Source organism: Homo sapiens, chromosome 10, assembly GCF_000001405.40.
Source record: "Homo sapiens chromosome 10, GRCh38.p14 Primary Assembly".
In the NCBI taxonomy this organism is placed as follows: Eukaryota; Metazoa; Chordata; class Mammalia; order Primates; family Hominidae; genus Homo; species Homo sapiens.
Window position 1 is genome coordinate 32,847,767 of NC_000010.11, and position 20,297 is coordinate 32,868,063.

General features: G+C 34.6%; 1 protein-coding gene across 39 annotated transcripts in view; it reads left to right on the forward strand.

Moving 5' to 3' along the window:
• CCDC7 (coiled-coil domain containing 7) overlaps nt 1–20,297 on the forward strand; it is a 439,541-nt gene that overhangs the window by 404,443 nt on the left and 14,801 nt on the right. For all 39 annotated transcript variants that reach the window (XM_047425743.1, XM_047425742.1, NM_001321115.2 and 36 more), the window contains 4 exons: nt 67–150; nt 830–952; nt 4,041–4,166; nt 6,634–6,723. In XM_047425743.1, the coding sequence (XP_047281699.1) occupies nt 67–150; nt 830–952; nt 4,041–4,166; nt 6,634–6,723 (423 nt within the window). The remainder of the gene's footprint in view (nt 1–66; nt 151–829; nt 953–4,040; nt 4,167–6,633; nt 6,724–20,297) is intronic.

Sequence of the window (20,297 nt, forward strand, 5' to 3'; positions counted from 1 at the left end):
TAAAATACATGTGTAACATAAATGGTTACCTTAAAAAGTGTTTTGAAATGTGTTTTATGTCTATAGAGACTGATGTAGAACCCTTGACAAATGCCATTGGTTCAAGTAAAACAATTGGTGAGATAAAGACACAACTAAGGACTCACTATGGTAAGAATAATAATTTTAAGTCTAATATTTACAGTTTATCTTCTCTGGGGTTTAAGTATGAATCTTTAATGATAACAGTACCTATATGTTAATATTTCATGGGCAAATGTCTTCATGAATTTTCTCATATAATTAGTTAAACTCTCGTATTATCAATGGGAAATTAGCTAGAAAGTTTTAAAACCTCTAGACAATGATTTTAAAAAATATGAGGTTTATAATTCTCTGTTTAAATAAATGTTTTCTACAATAATCCATGTTACTTTTATAGCAATAGAATTTATGAAAAATAAATCTAATAAACATTGGTTCAATTGGGGCAGGGGGGATCCAGTAGCTTATACATAGACTTCTGACCTCCAAAACTATCTTTCTAAGTGTATCCTTTTAAATGTAGACTATGGATCAATTATAGAAATGAACATTTGGTCAAAGTAAAATAAAGCTGGGATAAAGGTTGAAATTAAGGAAGATACTGTCACAGAATGCAGAACAAAGACAAGAAAGAGAAAATGATGAGAGACTACACAGAAATTTAAGTAATAAACAAGTGGCCATTTAATAAAATGTGGGAAGAAAAATTACCAAGGCAGAAATAAAGACAAATACGTGGAGATGGGATTAGTGTGTGAATAGTCAAGAGTATTCATGCACTTTTTCTTTTAAAATTTTATTTTAGATGTGAACTTATTTAAAAACAAAGATATGTCCGTACAACGTCAAGAAGGTATCTTTACTAGGAGCATTACACCAAGTAAATTCCCAACAAAAGTGATCAATTTATCACCCTTTGAAAATAAAGGTAAAGAATTATGTATGTAGATATGAATTCAGTATCTAATTACCTAGAATAGTTTTAAAGTATGCTTTTTCATTTACTCTTTTTGCATCTTACTTTTTTTTCAGAAATATCTTAGGAAAATTCTTACAAGCGTAAAAATAAAATGGTTTTAATTCATCCTTTTTATTGGCAGCATGATACTTCATAGTAAGAACACTTTATTCAATCATTCTACTAAAGAGCATTGACTTTTTAGGCTTGAGATTTCTTATTAAATTATACATGGATTTTTATCATTAAATGATATTTCCAGATTGCTTTCCTAAAGAGCTATTAAAATTAACATTTTCATCAGCAATCTTTAGGGAAAATTCTCTTCTGTGTGTAAGTATCTGCAATATGGATTGCTGGGTTTTGTTTTTTTTTTTTCATTTATACCCATCCGAAAGTTACTAAATTATATCTCACTCTTATTTTAATTTTTATTTTCATATTTGTTAGTGTTTTACTACTCCATATCTACCCTAAAACTTAAAAAAGCATAAAACAGTAACCACTTAGGTAACTGATGATTGTCTTGGCTGGGCTAACTTATGCATTTCTGGTCAAATTATCAATTCACCCATATGTATGGCGGTTGGCTGGCTGTTGTTTGAGACAATGGTGTAGAGTGGGCCCATTCAGTAAATAGAAACTTTACTGGTTGTTCAAAAAGAAAGCAAGAGGGCCCGGCGCGGTGGCTCACACATGTAATCCCAGCACTTTGGGAGGCCGAGGCAGGCAGATCACGAGGTCAAGAGATAGAGACCATCCTGGCCAACATGGTGAAACCCTGTCTCTACTAAAAATACAAAAATTAGCTGGGCATGGTGGCACGTGCCTGTAGTCCCAGCTACTTGGGAGGCTGAGGCAGGAGAATCGCTTGAATCCAGGAGGTGGAGGTTGCAGTGAGCCGAGATCACGCCACTGCACTCCAGCATGGCGAAAGAGCAAGACTCCGTCTCAAAAAAAAAAAAAAAAAAAGAAAAGAAAAATAGAAAGCAAGAGTGTAAAAAGTAGATGACTAAGTATAAAGTTGTTAACTTGGTAACTGAAAGTATTAAAAGAAGTCTAAGGTTACATGGAGGAAGCAATTACAGAAAGAAATTGCCATACGCAGAACTGAAGGAGACCTCTGCATAGGGTATAGATTGGATGATGCTAGTGTCCCTGATTCTGCAGGGGGGAACTTGGATCCCTACTTCTGAAGGCGGGGGGCACTGGCCATCTACTGCTAGTTTCTAAGTGGGGAGGAATAATAAAACTGGTTCTTCAAATGGTGGAAAAAAATGCAAACTCTTTGTTGCCATGGGAGGAATTGCTACTTTTGGGATAAGGAAACAATACCAGGATGTTCTTCACAGAAACTGAAAAGAGACAGGAAGCTCTCAAAGCCCACCAGGAACAAAATGAGAAGAACAAGTCTGTCCTTTTTCCTCCAAATTTGCAGATTTCCTCTATCTAGCCTATCTTGCACGGCCTACCTTGGAGCTACTTTGCAAAGCAAAAATGTGGTCTGCAGAATCCCCAGATCCAGTATCATGAAGCAGAGTGTAGAAGGGTGGTTTGGTGGCTAAACTTAATAACTGGCCCAGGAGGTGACTTGGCTGCATGTTTCTCATCATCCAGCCAACTAGCTAGGAGTCTTCAAGTTCTAAGAGCAGCATGCGGGCAAGCCTCAATGTATGAGCAGTTTTGAAGTCTCTGCTCACATTCATTTACTTTTGTCATATTCACCAAAGTCATATAACTAAGACCAGAGTTAGTATGGAAGAACATCAATACAAGTAGGCAAGAACACAGAGACCGTCACTGAAATCAATCCACCACAGTGTTCCTGCTGATTGAGAATATTCATGGCCCTCCCACATGCAAAATAGAATCAGCTCTTCCCAGGACCCCACAAATTCTTATCCAATTTTGGCATCAGTGCCAAAGACCACGATATTGTGATATATAATCATTTTCAGAGGCAGCTTCTATGATATGACTTCTTTTGATTCAGAGATTTTTTTTGAAATGTCACTTGTCTCTGACAACACACACACACACACACACACACACACACACACACACACACACAGAGACATGCAATGTAACAGTGGTGAGACAGGGACAGACCACAGAAGACACTCCCATTAACAAACAGCAGGGAGAAACGAAGGCAAATATGGCAGTCAATAATCCATACAGTAAGGTCACCTATTTCACCCTTCAATAGCATTATAATTTTCTCAGTAAAAACATACATGAAAAAATAAATGAACCAGGATATTGGAGGATACCAGAATGGAATGCAGGCTGGGGCAAATGGAATTGATCGTTTCTAGTCTCTGTGTTCTTTATTTCTGCTTTGATCTTTATTTTTTTTTCTTCTGGTAGATTTATGCTTAGTTCTGCTTTTACTACTTCTGTGAAGTGTAATTTTAGGTTGTTTATTTGATTCTTCTTTTATGATGTAGACATTTAATGCTATAAACTTTCCTCTTAGGACTACTTTTGCCGCATCCCATTAAGTTTTTGTATGTTACGTTTTTATTTTCTTTTGTCTGTAGATATATTTAAATTTCCCTTTTTAATTTCCTTCTTGACACAGTAGTTCTTCAGGAGCATATTGTTTAATGTTTCAAAGATTTATTAAGTTTCTTTTTATTCTCCTGTTACTGATATCTAGTTGATATTTGATGTAATTTTGATCTTACATTGTTAAGACCTCTTTTGTGGCCTAACATACGATCTGTTCTGGAGAATGTTCTTTGTGCACTTGAGAAGAATGTGTATCCTGTTACTGTTGGATAGAACATTGTGTAATTGTCTGATAAATATGCTTTATCTTATGTGTAGTTCAATTCCAGTGTTTATTTATTTTCTATCTGGATGACCTGTCTCTTGTTCAATAATAGGGGATATTGAAATTTTGTTGCAGTCTATGTATCCTTTCAGTTTTTTTAAATGTTTGCTTTATATATTTAGATGCTTTGATGTTGTGTGCATATATACTGTGTGAGTATTAAAAATAATTACAAATGTCATCTATTGTATGGCTAACATATTTTCCAAATTTTTCTAGAGGAAACTTATGAGTACTCTTCACCCTATGTGACTGCACCTTCAAAAGCAATTTATAGAACATATAGGGCTGGTCCAAGCTTTTCTAAAGACATCCACCTTCCTTTACTGAATCAACTCCCTTCAGGTAATTTTTAATATTTTTAGTGTACAGTGTGATTTTTAAAATAAAGCTATAACTAAATGTAAATAACCAAGTTGTAATAGCTTTAGTCATATAACAGTTTGGCAAAATATAAATGAAAGTAAATTGTGAGTTAAGTGCACCTAACATTTGTTCATTCTTAGCAATGAGTAGTTGTCCCTGGCATTTCTCTTCCTCTTCTCCATTATGACTAAATTGGAGCTCCATTTCTGTTCTCCACCTTCTTGTCTTGTTGACTACTGCAGATTTTGTGGATGACTGAGATAAACTCATTTTATAACCTCTTTCTTATATTTATGTATCCCTCTTTTATGCAACCCCAGGGAGAGCATACAATAGAAAGACAACATAAGGATAGGTGAGAAGAAAAATAAATCATATGTTTAGTTTTTCCCTTCCCTTCATTATCATCTACCTAGGCTTTTAACTCCATTAATATCTAAGAACTAAGATTCGATTCTTATCTGTCACTCCAGAGGCATCATTATATAATTATCACCCTGGTACATTTTCTACAGTTAATTGAGTTTGAATTTTTTTTATTTTTTTATAAACGGAGTCTTGCTCTGTCGCCCAGGCTGGAGTGCAGTGGCATGATCTTGGCTCACTGCAACCTCCACCTTCTGGGTTCTCCTGCCTTAGCCTCCTGAGAGTTTGAAACTTTTAAAAAATGTAAATCATTTTTCTTTGATTTATTCTGTGCTCTAAAATAAATATCCATGGCACTTTCTATCCATAAAGGTTCTAAGTAAAAAATCAATAGGAAATGCAGAAAGTTGACTATTACTTTTACTTATTTTTTTACTACATGCAATATAAAAGGAAAAAGAAAACAGTAAAAAGATATTTGGGCTTGCTTCTGGAAAAGCAAATGAATGTAAGCAAAGAAAGTGAAATCCATGTTCTTTCCCAGTGAGCTAGAAGAAAAAATGGTTAGAAATTATATATGACAAAAGAGGAAAGTTTAAAATAATAAGCAAAATCCTGGGCTTCAGTGGATACAAAATAAAGTTGACAAGATAGGCTAGGACTCAAAAGGAGGGTTTTGTTGGTTGGAACTCCTAGCTTTTTATAGCTTCTCAAGCTGGGTTAGTCATTGTTCATTATATTTTAGATAAATGTAATTGATTTGGGGTTCACTTGTTACTTCATATCACCTACAACACTGCTTTTCATTAATGTAGCTCCTGGTTTTTCCTATAATTTGGGTTTTTTTTTCTAAGCCCAAGACTTTTATTTGAAGAATATACTAATTATAAGCAGTAATAATAATGCTTAAAGAAAACAAAGAGGAGAATAAAATTAATAAATGGTCTAAATAGTCTAATATCTATACTCTTGCTTTATGATTACAGAGGAATAATAATGGTCTTCTCTTATGGATTGAATGAAAACTATAATAGCATAAAATATTTTAAAATTTTTCACGAAAGCATTTGGCCTTTGAATCTAAAAATAATGGCAGATATACATTTTTCAAGCAAACACTTGCCTTAAGGAATGGAAGAATTGAATGTTTCATTTCTGTGCAAAAAATATACTGAGGAAAGTCAACATATTAATGTAAAATTTTACTAACTTTGAGAAAGTACCATTCAAATGTTTCACCTTCTGCTTTTAATGTCAGCATTTTTCCTCCAAATAAGCAGGTGTTGAAACTAGTTTTAATTATATAGTTTTGTTTTTAGCAGTGTTCAAAATATGTATCTTTACAATTGCATTTCTAGTATCTCCTCCTTAATTATAGCACTAGATTTCTCATTGTGGGACTATAAACTTCTTTTTAAATAAAATGATACAATGTTTTATATAGAGATGAAAACTTTATCTAAAAATTTGCATTTTAATTATTCACATTTTTTACTGTCCTGCAAAAAGGCTCATTCTCTGACATTTTTATCTATGACCTTTCTAGTCTTCATTTGTTTTCATATTTTTTACTTTTATTTCAGATTCATGGGGTATATATGCAGGTTTGTTACATGGGTATACTGCATGACATTGAGGTTTGGGATATGACTGGTCCCATCACCCAGGCAGTGAGCACAGTGCCCAATAGGCAGTTTTTCAGCCCATGACCCTCTCTCTCTCCTCACTAGGGATCTCCACTTTATTGTTCCCATATTTATGTCCATGCTTTCCCAAGGTTTAACTCCTTCTTGTAAGTAAGAACATGTGGTATTTGGTTTTCTGATCCTATGTTAATTTGCTTTAGTCTTTCTTTTTCTTGATTTGTACTCTTATAATGCACTCTTATAAATATCAAATACCAGGCAAGAAAAAAATCAGAGAGAAAATATTTGTGTCAGGTAAGCTGCTTTATCTAAATTACTGAAAAAAAGTTGTAAGGAAACTGTGTTTTAGAATACTAAGATTTATTTTAACATTTTAAAAGTTGAAATTACTTAATTTACCACATAATTTAATAACACTGTTCTCATTTTTTTAGGGCATTCGAAAGTTGTTACCTTAAGCCAAAAAACTATTGAATTTACTCTGCCTACTGTGACCAATACAGTTGGAAAACCTACCTATAAAGGTAAAAGAATCACTACAATACAGACATATGAAATAAAACTTTATGCTATATTCTCATCGTCTCTATTTACCAACCTCAAACCTCTGGGCTTCCTTCTTCAAACAACCAACCTTATGGGTGAGGCATGGTTTCCCAAACCTTTCTTCAAACAAGTAAAAATATATATGTAAACAGTGGTTTGTGGTTCTGAATAACCACAGGCTTATATGCTTATATCCTCCTCACTTTTGACCCAGGTAAATTGATAGAAATTTCTTTCATCTGTCACATTTTTAAGCTACTGCATGATATTCTATGATGTGAATGCATCCTAATTTATTCAACGATTCCTCTACAGAATAACATTTTATCATCGTTTTTTGCCACTACAAGCAATGGTGCAATAAATACCATTGTTCATATATATTTATGTCACAGTGATTGCATTTCTATAAAAAAGAACATGTAAGTGAGGTTGGTGCATTAAAGGTATATATCATTTTAATTTTAATAGATATTAGCAAACGTTTCAAATTACTATGGCTAATAGCTCTGCTAGTAAATGCATGAAATGCCTATTTCCAAGCACCTAAGCCAGAACTAGACTTTTCATGCATTGGAAATATTAAGAATATTAAATAATATTGTTAAGATATCAGTACCACTCAAAGTGATCTAAGGATTCAGTGCAATCTCTATTGAAATCCCAAATACTTTTTTTACAGAAAAATGTAAGTTTTTTTTTTTTTTAATTCATACAGAATCTTAAGGCAGCAGTCCTCAACCTTTTTGACAGCAGGGACCGGTTTCGTGGAAGACAATTTTTCCATGGAATGGTGGTGGGGGAATGATTTTAGGATGATTCAGGCGCATTACATTTATTGTGCACTATATTTCTATTATTATTACACTGTAATATATAATGAAATAATTATACAATTCACCATAATGTAGGATCAGTGGTAGCCCTAAGCTTGTTTTCCTGAAACTAGGTGGTCCCATCTGGGGGTGATGGGAGACAGTGATAGATTATCAGGCATTAGATTCTCATAAGGAGCACACAACCTAGATCCCTCTCATGCGCAGTTCACAATAGGGTTTGTGCTCCTATGAGAATCTAATGCTGCCACTGATCTGACAGGAGGCAGAGCTCAAGTGGTAATGCCAGCAATGAGGAACAGCTGTAAACACAGATGAAGCTTCCCTTGCTCACCCACTGCTCACCTCCTGCTGTGTGGCCCAGTTCCTAATAGGCCACAGACCAGGAGTTGGAGACCCTGCCCCTATAAGGGACCCGATAGTCAAAATAATCTTGACAAAGAACAAAATTGAAAGACTTACACTTCATAATTTCGAAGCTTACTGCAAAACTACAATAACCAAAACAGTATGGTACTGGCCTAAAGACAAACACATAGTCTGATGGAATAGGATAGAGAGCTGAGAAATAAACCCTCACATATATGGTCAAATGATTTTTTACAAGAGTGCTAAGACTAATCGGTATGGAAAAAATAGTCTTTACAACATATGATGCTGAGAAAACTAGATATCCACATGCAAAATAATGACGTTGTGCCCTTTATCTTACACAGACAAAAATTAACTCAAAGTAGACCGAAAACCTAAAACTAAGAGCTGTACTTTAAAACTCTTAGAAGAAAACATAGGAGAAAACCATATATTGGATTTGGCAATGACTTCTTGGATGATACCAAACACACTGTCCAAAAAAATAGACATGTTAGAATTTATCAAAATTAAAAACTTTCAGTCATCAATGGAAAATATCAAGAGTAAAAAGGCAAACCACAGAATGGGAGAAAATATTTTTAAATCACATATCTGATAAGGTATTAATAATCCAGAATATATAGAGACCTCCTACAACTCAACCACAACAACAGAACTCAATTTTAAAATGGGCATAGGCCAGCCTCCTAGAGAAACACTAATCTGATCTGATCACCCTGCCCTCTGGACTGAACACGCACAGCACCCTGCCTCCCTGGATTGGGAAAGCCCTCTACAGCCTGAGTTGCTGAGGTGCCCCACCTCCCTAGGAGTGAAGCCAACATTGCACTGCTGCACACCCCCCAGGGCCAAAGCCACAGATGTGCCCCCATCATTCCTGGACCTTGCTGTCACTGCACCTGACCTCACAGAGCCTGCGCCACTGCTGTGTCCCATTACTCCAGGGCTTAGAGTTCTTGGTGCATGAATTGCCACTGTGTCCTATTGGTTCTGTAGCCTGAATTGCAATTGTACCCTGCTCATTGGGGCCTAAACCTCTGGAAAACCTCTTCCTTCCCAGAGCCATGCCATTGCTGCACCCTAACACCCAGGATGAGTCAGCAACATGCCTGATCCTGGGCCTGAGATACTGGGAAGTGCCTCAGAATCACAGTACTTGGCCTTGTGGGAGAGCTGCATCACCCATACCTAAAAGAATAAACCTGGACCTACACCACAGGTGTCCTGGCAGTTCAACAAGACACTGAGCCCCAGACCCCAGCTCCACAGCCACTCTGAGCACCTGTTCCCTGTAACACAGCACTGCTTGGCTGCCTCTGGCCTGTGTCAGGCTCAACACCAAGAGAGATGCCCTCAGGTAAATCTACTACTATGGGGTAACTAGAACAGAAGGATCTTTAAAGTCCTTTACACTGAGAAATGGACTCCACTACTGTGCCTACCCAGAATGAGAGCCACTGCACTTTGCCCAACTAATACCTGCAGACAATATCTGCAGGTGACAGTCTCCCCAAGGAAGCCACTATAAAAACAAAAATTAGCAAATAGAACTTAATTAAACTAAAGACCTTCAGCACTTTCCATCCAACAGCAGCAGAACATACATTTTTTTCTAGTGCATATGGAACATTCTTAAGGATAGACCATATATTAGGCCATAAAACAAGTCTTAACAAATTCAAGAAGATTAAGAATATACCTAATACTATTTCTGAAAACAATGGTATGAAATTAGAAATTAAAAACAAAAGGAATCTTGAAAATGTACAAATATGTAGAAGTTTTAAAACATGCTCCTGAACAACCAACCAGTAGGTGAAAGAAGAAATCAAAAGCAATACTTAAAAATATATTGACAAATGACAATAGAATCACAACGTATCAAAATCTATGGGAAGCAGCAAAAGTAATTCTAAGAGGGAAGCTTATAGCAATAAATGACCACATTATAAAAGAAGAAAGATTCCAAATAAATAGCCTAATGTTATGCCTCAAGGAGTTGGAAAAAGAAAAACAAGCCAAAGTTTGCAGAAGGAAAGAAATAATAAAGATTAGACCAGAATTAAATCGAATAGAGAATAGAAAAACTATAGAAAAAAAAATCAATAAAACCAAGAGTTGCTTTTTTTGAAAAAAATAAAATAAAATAGACAAAATCCTTGCTAGGCAAACTAAGAAAAGAAGAGAAAAACTCAAATAAAATCAGAAATGAAAATGAAGACATTATAGTAGATACCAAAGAAATTAAAAGGATCATAAGAGACTAGTATGAAAAACTATATGCCAACAAATTGGATAAAATAAAGGAAATGAATAAATTCCTCAAAAAATATAAGCTACCAAGATTGAATCAGGAAGAAATAGAAAGCTTAGACAAACCAATACCAAATAAAAAGGTTGAAGAAGTAATTAAAAGCGTTTCAACAAAAAAGGTCAGAACATTTCGAGGTGGCTTCACAGCTTCACACCTTCACATTTGAATACTACGAAACATTCACAGAAGAATTATCAGTGCTTCTTAAACTCTTCCAAAAAAATCGCACTAGAAGGAGTATTTTCAAACACGTTTTATGAGGCCAGCATCACCTCAAGACGTAAGCCAAAGAAAGACACCATAGGAGAAGAAAACTACAGAGCAATATCTCTGATGAACATTGATGCAAAAATGCTCAATTAAACATTATCAAACTGAATTCAACAACAACAATTAAACATTATCAAACTTAATTGAAAACAACAACAAAATTGAACATCATGAGCAAGTGGGATCTATTGCTGACATGTAGGGCTGGTTGATCATGGGTAAATTAGTCAATGTGATACTTCATATTCACAGCATAATCTCAGATGATCCCCCATGATGGTCTCAGTTGACAAAGAAAAAGCGTTTGACAAAGTTCAGCATTCTTTCTTTATTGAAAGTTTTAATAGTATAGGTATAGAAGGAAAGTTCCTCAACATAACAGAGGCCATTTATGAAAAATCTACAGCTGATGGAGGAATATTTTCCAAGCAAATGGAAAGCAAAAAAAAACCAGGGATTGCAATCTTAGTCTCTGATAAAACAGACTTTAAACCAACAAAGATCAAAAGAGACAAGGGCATTACATAATGGTAAAAGGATCAAAGCAACAAAAAGAGCTAACTATCCTAAATATATGTGCATCCAATACAGGAGCACCCAGTTTCATAAAAAAAGTTCTTAGAGACCTACAAAGAGACTTAGACTCCCACACAATAATAGTGGGAGACTTTAACAACCCCGTGTCAATATTAGACAGATCAATAAGACAGAAAATTGACAAGGATATCCAGGACTTGAACTCAGCTCTGGACCAAGCAGACCTAATAGACATCTACAGAACTCTCCACCCCAAATCAACAAAACATACACTTTTCTCAGCACCACAATGCACTTATTCTAAAACTGACCACTTAATTGGAAGTAAAGCACTCCTTAGCAAATGCAGAATAAGGGAAATCATAACAAATAGTCTCTCAGACCACAGTGCAATCAAATTAGAACTCAGGATTAAGAAACTCACTCAAAACCACACAACTACATGGAAACTGAACAACCTGCTCCTGAATGACTACTGGGTAAATAACGAAATGAAGGCAGAGATAAAGATGTTCTTTGAAACCAATGAGAACAAAGACAGAGCATATCAGAACCTCTGGGACACATTTAAAGCAGTGTGTAGAAGGAAATTTATAGCACTAAATGCCCACAAGAGAAGGCAGAGAAGATCTAAAATCGACACACTAACATCACAATTAAAAGAACTAGAGAAGCAAGAGCGAACAAATCCAAAAGCTAGCAGAAGACAAGAAATAACTAAGATCAGAGCAGAACTGAAGGAGAGACACAAAAAACCCTTCAAAAAATCAGTGAATCCAGAGTTGGTTTTCTTGAAAAGATCAACAAAATAAATAGGCCACTAGCCAGACTAATAAAAAAGAAAAGAGAAGAATCAAATAGATGCAATAAAAAATGATAAAGGGAATATCACCACCGATCCCACAGAAATACAAACTACCATCAGAGAATACTATAAACGCCTCTACGCAAATTAACTAGAAAATCTAGAAGAAATGGATAAATTCCTGTACACATACACCCTCCCAAGACTAAACCAGGAAGAGGTCGAATCCCTGAATAGGCCAATAACAAGTTCTGAAATTGAGGCAGCAATTAATAGCCTATTAACCAAAAAAAGTCCAGGACCAGACGGATTCACAGCCAAATTCTACCAGAGGTACGAAGAGGAGCTGGTACCATTCCTTCTGAAACTATTCCAAACAATAGAAAAAGAGAGAATCCTCCCTAACTTATTTTATGAGGCCAGCATCATCCTGATACCAAAACCTGGCAGAGACAATAGAAAAAAAGAAAATTTCAGGCCAATATCACTGATGAACATCGATGTAAAAATCCTCGATAAAATACTGGCAAACCGAATCCAGCAGCGCATCAAAAAGCTTATCCACCACGATTAAGCCGGCTTCATCCCTGGGATGCAAGGCTGGTTCAGCATACACAAATGAATAAACATAATCCATCACACAAACAGAACCAATGACAAAAGCCACATGATTATTTCAATAGATGCCGAAAAGGCCTTTGACAAAATTTAACAGCCCTTCATGCTAAAAACTCTTAATAAACTAGGCATTGATGGAATGTATGTCAAAATAATAAGAGCTATTTATGACAAAGCTACAGCCAGTATCACACTGAATGGGCAAAAACTGGAAGCATTCCCTTTTAAAACCGGCACAAGACAAGGATGCCCTCTCTCACCACTCCTATTCAACATAGTGTTGGAAGTTCTGGCCAGGGCAATCAGGCAAGAGAAAGAAATAAAGCGTATTCACTTAGGAAAAGAGGAAGTCAAATTGTCTCTGTTTGCAGATGACATGATTGTATATTTAGAAAACCCCATCATCTAGGCCCCAAATCTCCTTAAGCTGATAAGCAACTTCAGCAAAGTCTCAGGATAAAAAAGCAATGTGCAAAAATCACAAGCATTCCTATACACCAATAACAAACAGAGAGCCAAATCATGAGTGAACTCCCATTCACAATTGCTACAAAGAGAATCAAATACCTAGGAATCCAACTTACAAGGGATGTGAAGGACCTCTTCAAGGAGAACTACAAACCACTGCTCAAGGAAATAAGAGAGAACATAAATAAATGGAAAAACATTCCATGGTCATGGATAGGAAGAATCAATATCGTGAAAATGGCCATACTGCCCAAAGTAATTTATAGGTTCAATGCTGTCCCAATCAAGCTACCATTGACTTTCTTCACAGAATTGTAAAAAACTACTTTAAATTTCATTTGGAACCAAAAAAGAGCCTGCATAGCCAAGACAATCATAAGCAAAAAAAAAAAAAAAAAAAGAAAGCTGAAGGCATCATGCTACCTGACTTCAAACTATACTACAAGGCCACAGTAACCAAAACAGCATGGTACTGGTACCAAAACAGATATATAGACCAATGGAACAGAACAAAGGCCTCAGAAATAATGCCACACATGTAGAACCATCTGATTTTTGACGAACCTGACAAAAACAAGCAATGGGGAAAGGATTCCCTATTTAATAAATGGTGTTGGGAAAACTGGCTAGTCATATGCAGAAAACTGAAACTGGACCCCTCCCTTACACCTTATATAAAAATTAACTAAAGATGGATTAAAGACTTAAACGTAAGACCTAAAACCATAAAAACCCTAGAAGAAAACCTAGGCAATACCATTCAGGACATAGGCATGGGTAAAGACTTCATGACTAAAACACCAAAAGCAATTGCAATAAAAGCCAAAATTGACAAATGAGATCTAATTAAACTAGAGCTTCTGCACAGCAAAAGAAACTATCATCATAGTGAACAGGCAACCTACAGAATGGGAGAAAATTTTTGCAATCTATCCATCTGACAAAGGGCTAACATCCAGAATCTACCAAGAACTTAAACAAATTTACAAGAAAAAAAAATCCCATCAAAAAGTAGGCAAAGGAGATGAACAGACACTTCTCAAAATAAGATGTTTATGCAGCCAACAAACATATGAAAAAAAGATCATCATCACTGGTCATTAGAGAAATGCAAATCAAAACCACAATGAGATAACATCTCATGCCAGTTAGAATGGCGATCATTAAAAAGTCAGGAAACAACAGATGCTGGAGGGGATGTGGAGAAACAGGAACACTTTTACACTGCTGGTGGGACTGTAAATTAGTTCAAACATTGTGGAAGACACTGTGGTGATTCCTCAAGAATCTAGAACTATAAATACCATTTGACCCAGCAATCCCACTACTGGATATATACCCCAAGGATTATAAATCATTCTGCTATAAAGACACATGCACATGTATGTTTATTGCAGCACTATTTACAATAGCAAAGACTTGGAACCAACCCAAATGCCCATCAGTGATAGACTGGATGAAGAAAATGTGGCACATATACACCATGGCATACTATGCAGCCATAAAAAAGAATGAGTTCACGTCCTTTGCAGGGACATGGATGATGCTGGAAACCATCATTCACAGCAAACTAACACAAGAACAGAAAACCAAACACTGCATGTTCTCACTTATAAGTGGGAGTTGAACAGTGAGAACACATGGACACAGGGAGGGGAACATCACACACTGGGGCTTGTCGGGGGTTGGGGGGCTAGGGGAGGGATAGCATTAGGACAAATACCTAATGTAGATGATGGGTTGATGGGTGCAGCAAACCACATGTATACCTATGTAACAAACCTGCACGTTCTGCACATGTACCCCAGAACTTAAGGTATAATAATAAAAAAAAAACCCACAGCTAACATCATAATCAACAGAGAACACCTTAAAACTTCTCCACTAAGATCAGCTACAAGGCAGGGATGTCCACTCTCACCAGTTCTATTTGTTCAACACAGTACTAGAAGTACTATCAAGGACAATCAAACAAATTTGGATTGCAACCAAATCAGAAAGAAAAATACTCTGTTTGAAGACAACATGATCTTATATATAGGAAACCCTAAAGACTACATTACTTAAGTGCTAACTTTGCAGGATACAAAATCAACATACAAAAATCAGATACATTTCTATAAACAAATAATGACCTAACTGAAAAAGAAACTTTAAAAGAAATAATTTCATTTATGATAGCATAAAAAAGCTAAGCATTAATTTAACCAAGGAGGTGAAAGATTTGCACACTGACAACTAGAAAACATTGATGGAAGAAATTGAAGAAGTCACAAATAAATGGCAAAATATTCAGTGTTCATGGATGGGAATAATTAACATTGTTATGTTCATAGTACTCAAAGCAATAATACAGACTTAACAAAATACCAATCAAAATTCCAATGGTATTATTCACATAAATAGAAAACAATCCTAAAATTTGTATGAAACCACAAAAAAAACCATGAATAGACAAAGCAGTTACAGATAAAAGGTAAAAACAATTGGAGGCATCACATGTCCTGATTTAAAATTATATTTCAAAGCTATAGTAATCAAACTCATATGGTAATGGCACAAAAACAGAAACACAGACCAATGGAACAGAGAAACCAGAAATCCAAATGTTTATGGTAGACTATTTTTTTGTTGTTGAGACAGAGACCTACTTTGTCACTTGGGCTAGAATGCAGTGGCATGATCATAGCTCACTGTCACCTTTAACTCCTGGGTTCAAACAATCCTCCTGCCCCAGCCTTTCAAATTGCTAAGACTACAGGTGCACACCACCACATTCAGCTATTTTTTTAATTTTTTGTAGAGACAGGATCTTGCTACATTGCCAAGGCTGGTCTTGAACTCCCACCACACCAGGCCCAATGATCAATTAATTTTTGACAAGGACTCCAGGACTCCAGGTGTATGCAATGGGGAAAGAATAGTCTCTTCAATAAATGGTGCTGGGAAAACTGGATTTCTATATGCAAAAAATATAATTGAACTTTTATCTTACACCATACACAAAAATCAACTCAAAATGGATAGGAGACCTACATGTAAGACCTGAAACTATAAAACTCCTAGAAGAGAACATAGGAGAAAAGATCTTTGATGCTGACTTTGGCAGGGATTTTTTTGTATATTATACCAAAAGCTCAGGCTAAAAAACAAAATAAATAAATAAATAAATAAATAAGGCTGTGTCAAGAAAAAACCTCCCACACTGCAAAGAAAACAATTAACAAAATGAAAAGGCAACCTACTGACTGGTAAAAAAAAAAAAAAAATTTGCAAACCGTATAACTGATAAGGGGCTAATATCCTAATTTTATAAGGAATACTTACAACTCAACAGCACAAAAACAAATAACTTGATTTTAAAATGGGCAAAAAATCTAAACAGACGTTTCTCTGAAGAAGACACAAAAATGGCATCAGTAATCCTTAGGGAAATGCAAATCAAAACTACAATGAGATACCACTTCATAGTCATTAGGATGGCCATTATTAGAAGAAAAAAGGAGAGGGTTGGGGAGAGGAGAGAAAGAAAGAGAATAACAACTGTTGGTAAGGATGTGGAGAAATTCAAATCCTTTTTCAAAACCGTAAAAATTATAAAATATTTAGAAAGAAATATAACAAGAAGGGACAATGCCTTTTTCAAAAAAAATTGTAATTATAATTGTCGGCTACTTATAACAAGACCTGAAAAAAGTATTGAGACACAGCAATATCATTTACTATATTAAAATATCAAATTCCAAAGTATATTTATATATATATACACACACATATATATTACATAATGCAATTAAAATCAGAAATTTTCATAGCTAAATACATTTATATTTAATAAATAAATTCTAAAGATTAAAGATGAAGTGTTCAAGAACTAAAATGAAAAGAAACTGAACTCCTGTTGTACAATATATACAAAACTCTGGATTAAAGAGTTAAGGCCAAAAAATACAATTTAAATTAGAAGAATAATTAGGAAAATATGTTTAACCGTAATGATAGAAAGAAACATAGGAAATCCTGAAGCTTAAAACTTAAAAGAAAAACATGTCAGACTACTCATTCTTATAGATGTCAATGGGAAAAGAGGTAAAAAATGATATCAAAAGAGAAGTAAAGAAGGGAATGCACTTGCAGTAACGGCAGAGTAGTTCACATACAGCACGACTTCCACAGCTTTGTGTGTAACCACCAAATAAACCTTGAATTCTATCTCAAATCATGCACAGAAATCAAGATGAATCATGTACCTAAATCTTAAATCCCAAAGTATAAAGCACCTTAAAGCACACATAGGAGAATAAGTTTGCGACCTTACTGATGGGAAATAAATTAGTAACCATTAAAGTAAGCTCGATAATTAGACTTGATCAAAATTAAAAACTTCACACATAAAAAGACAGCATTAAGCAAACAAGCACGCTATGAATGGAGAAAAAGTGTTTATAATACATATAGCTTATAATAGACTTCTCTGCAGAATATGTAAAGAACTTTTATGTTAATATTAAAATGACACTCAAAAATTGAGTATATTTTTTCTAAAAGCAGATACACAAAAAGAAGGTATACAAAGGACACACAAATGATGAAAATGCATGTAAACAGTATTCACCATTAGTCATCAGTGAATAGCAAGTTAAAGCCACAGTGAGGTACTCCTATTATACACACACACACACACACACACACACACACGAGAATGGCTAAAGTTATAAAGTGACAATACCAAATGTTGATGAGAATGTGCAGTAACTCTTATTGCTGGTAAGGGTGTAAAATGGTACAACTACTTTGAAAAATTGTTTAGCAGTTTTTTACTATAAGGAGTGTGTACTAATAGAACTTGATTAGAAAGGAGTATGAGGAAACGTTCTTAGAGTGATGGCAATGTTCTGTTACATAATCAAATTGTGGGTTACACAGCTGTAGGCATTGTCAAAACTCACCTGTTATAATAACTAAGATTCATTCCTCCATGTAAATTCAACTCCCAGAATGAGAACTACAAATAAATATTGAGCTCTAGTCATATGTTTGGTTTTCATCACTGTATGGCTTGGTGATCCTTTTTGTGCATTTTAAGTTCAAGCAAACAAGCAAACACATTAAGGGTAACAGCCACCATGTTTTCCCATTATTGGAAAAGGTAAGTTTAAATATGGAGAGAGGAATGAGTAGATTAACCCTGTAGTATATTGAATTAGAGTTGAAAATATCTGCATGAACCCACAGGTTTATACAAACACACACATCCTTTAGCTGTTCCTGCTCAGAGAACCTAAAAGCAATGACACATCGATAGGAATGAGCACACCTAGCACCCAAATCTACATTTCTAAATATTATTCTCCATTAAAATGAATCAGGGATTCTTTAAAAAGAGAATTATTCAATGGCTGACATAAATAGAAAATGCAAAATCATACAACTTCTAGATGACAAATCTAGGTGTCCTTGGGTGTGTCAATGACTGTTTAGATATGACACCAAAGGCACAATCATGAAAGAAATAAATGATAAGCTAGACTTCATTAAAATGAAAAATGTCTGCTCTGTAAAAACATTAAAAGAGAATAAGCCACAGAGAAGATCTTTACAAAAGACATATCTGATAAAGAACTGTTATTCAATATATACAAAGTGTTCTTAAAACTTAATTATTTGAGAAAATGAACAAATCAATTTAAAAATAGTTGAGGGTACTCTGTTTTTTTAATGTGAACAATTTATTAAAAAAGACAAAACAGGCTGTGAAAATGTAGATAAAAGGAGATTAAAGAGATTAGCCATCGAAGTAATTAATAGTACCAATGGATTATAAATAGTTGAACAAAATAAAATCTATGAGCTCTGCTCATATGAAATTAAAAGAAGGAAGAAAAGGAGGTGGTGGTGAGGAAAGGAGAGAAAAAGGGAGAAGGAAGCAGAGGGAGGAAAAAGGAAAAGCTATTTCTTTCAATAGAATGGCAGCTGATAAAGGTAAAAAGAATGATCATGTTAGAAAATTGCAATAGATTTTTAAAAAAATTAATGGGTGAGTTTATGGGAACTAAGTATCTGCCCCAAATTACCTATTACTTATAAAAGTAAAAAAAGTACTTTACAGTAGAGAAACATAATAGACACCATTACAATCTAATGATCAAAATTGCCATCACAATATTTTGAAAAAATATAACCCATTGAGAAGGACACAACATTACATCTGGGATACTCCTCCCGAAGATGTATAACCTGAAAGTAACCATGAGAAAACTTCAGATAAAACCAAATTGAAAAATATTCTACAGACTGGTGTTAAAAATATGTAGGTCAAGACACAAAAAGAAATATAAATTAACTATTCCAGATTAAGAGAGACTAAAAAAACCCACAAATTTAGTGCATGGTCCTAGATTCAATCTTAGTCCAAAAAAATCTATAAAGGACATTATTATGACAAATGCAACTTGAATATGGGTTATGAATTAGATGGTAAGTTGAGTCAATGTTAAATTTCCTATTTTTGGTAATTGTGTTGTGATGATATATTATCATTTCTTAAGAAATACTAAAGTTTTACGGGTAAAGAGACATTATGTTTCCAAGTTACCCCTCTATAGTTCAGAAAAAATAATAGTTTATGTATTAAATATTTATCATGTTTATAAATATATGTACATAATGTTTATAACACATACATCTACATATGAACATAGAGAACATTATAAAGCAAAAAGGACAGAATAAAACTGAATAAATTCTAGAAGGGATTGGAATCCCTTCTAGAATTCTTTCAGTTTCTCTGTAAACTTGAATTGATAGAAAAATCAAAAGATTTTTAAAACCCTATTATACAAAAAGCTTCTATGAAACAAAAAAGGCAACTAACGGGAAAATGGGCAAAGAATATAAGTAGGCAATTCACAGAAGAAATTAAAATAGAAATAATAGTAAGTCTATTGTTACTAAATAGAAATAATTCTCATTAAAGATAAAACTGTTTATATTGTTTATTTTTAAAATTATTTTAAAAATTTTAGTAAACATACATTACATAAAGTTTGCCATTTTAACCATTTTTAAGTGTACAGTTTAGTCGCATTAAATACATTCACACTGCTATGCAACTATCACTACCATCTACCTCCAGAACGTTTTTTATCTTGCAAAACTGAAACTCTCCCCATTAAACATTAATTCCTTATCTCCTACCCCCAGTTCCTGGCAACCATCATTCTACTTTTTGTCTCTATAAATTTAGCTACTATAAGTACCTTATGTGGGTGTAATCATACCTATTTATTTCTTTGTGGCTGGCTTATTTCACTTAGCATAATGTCTTCA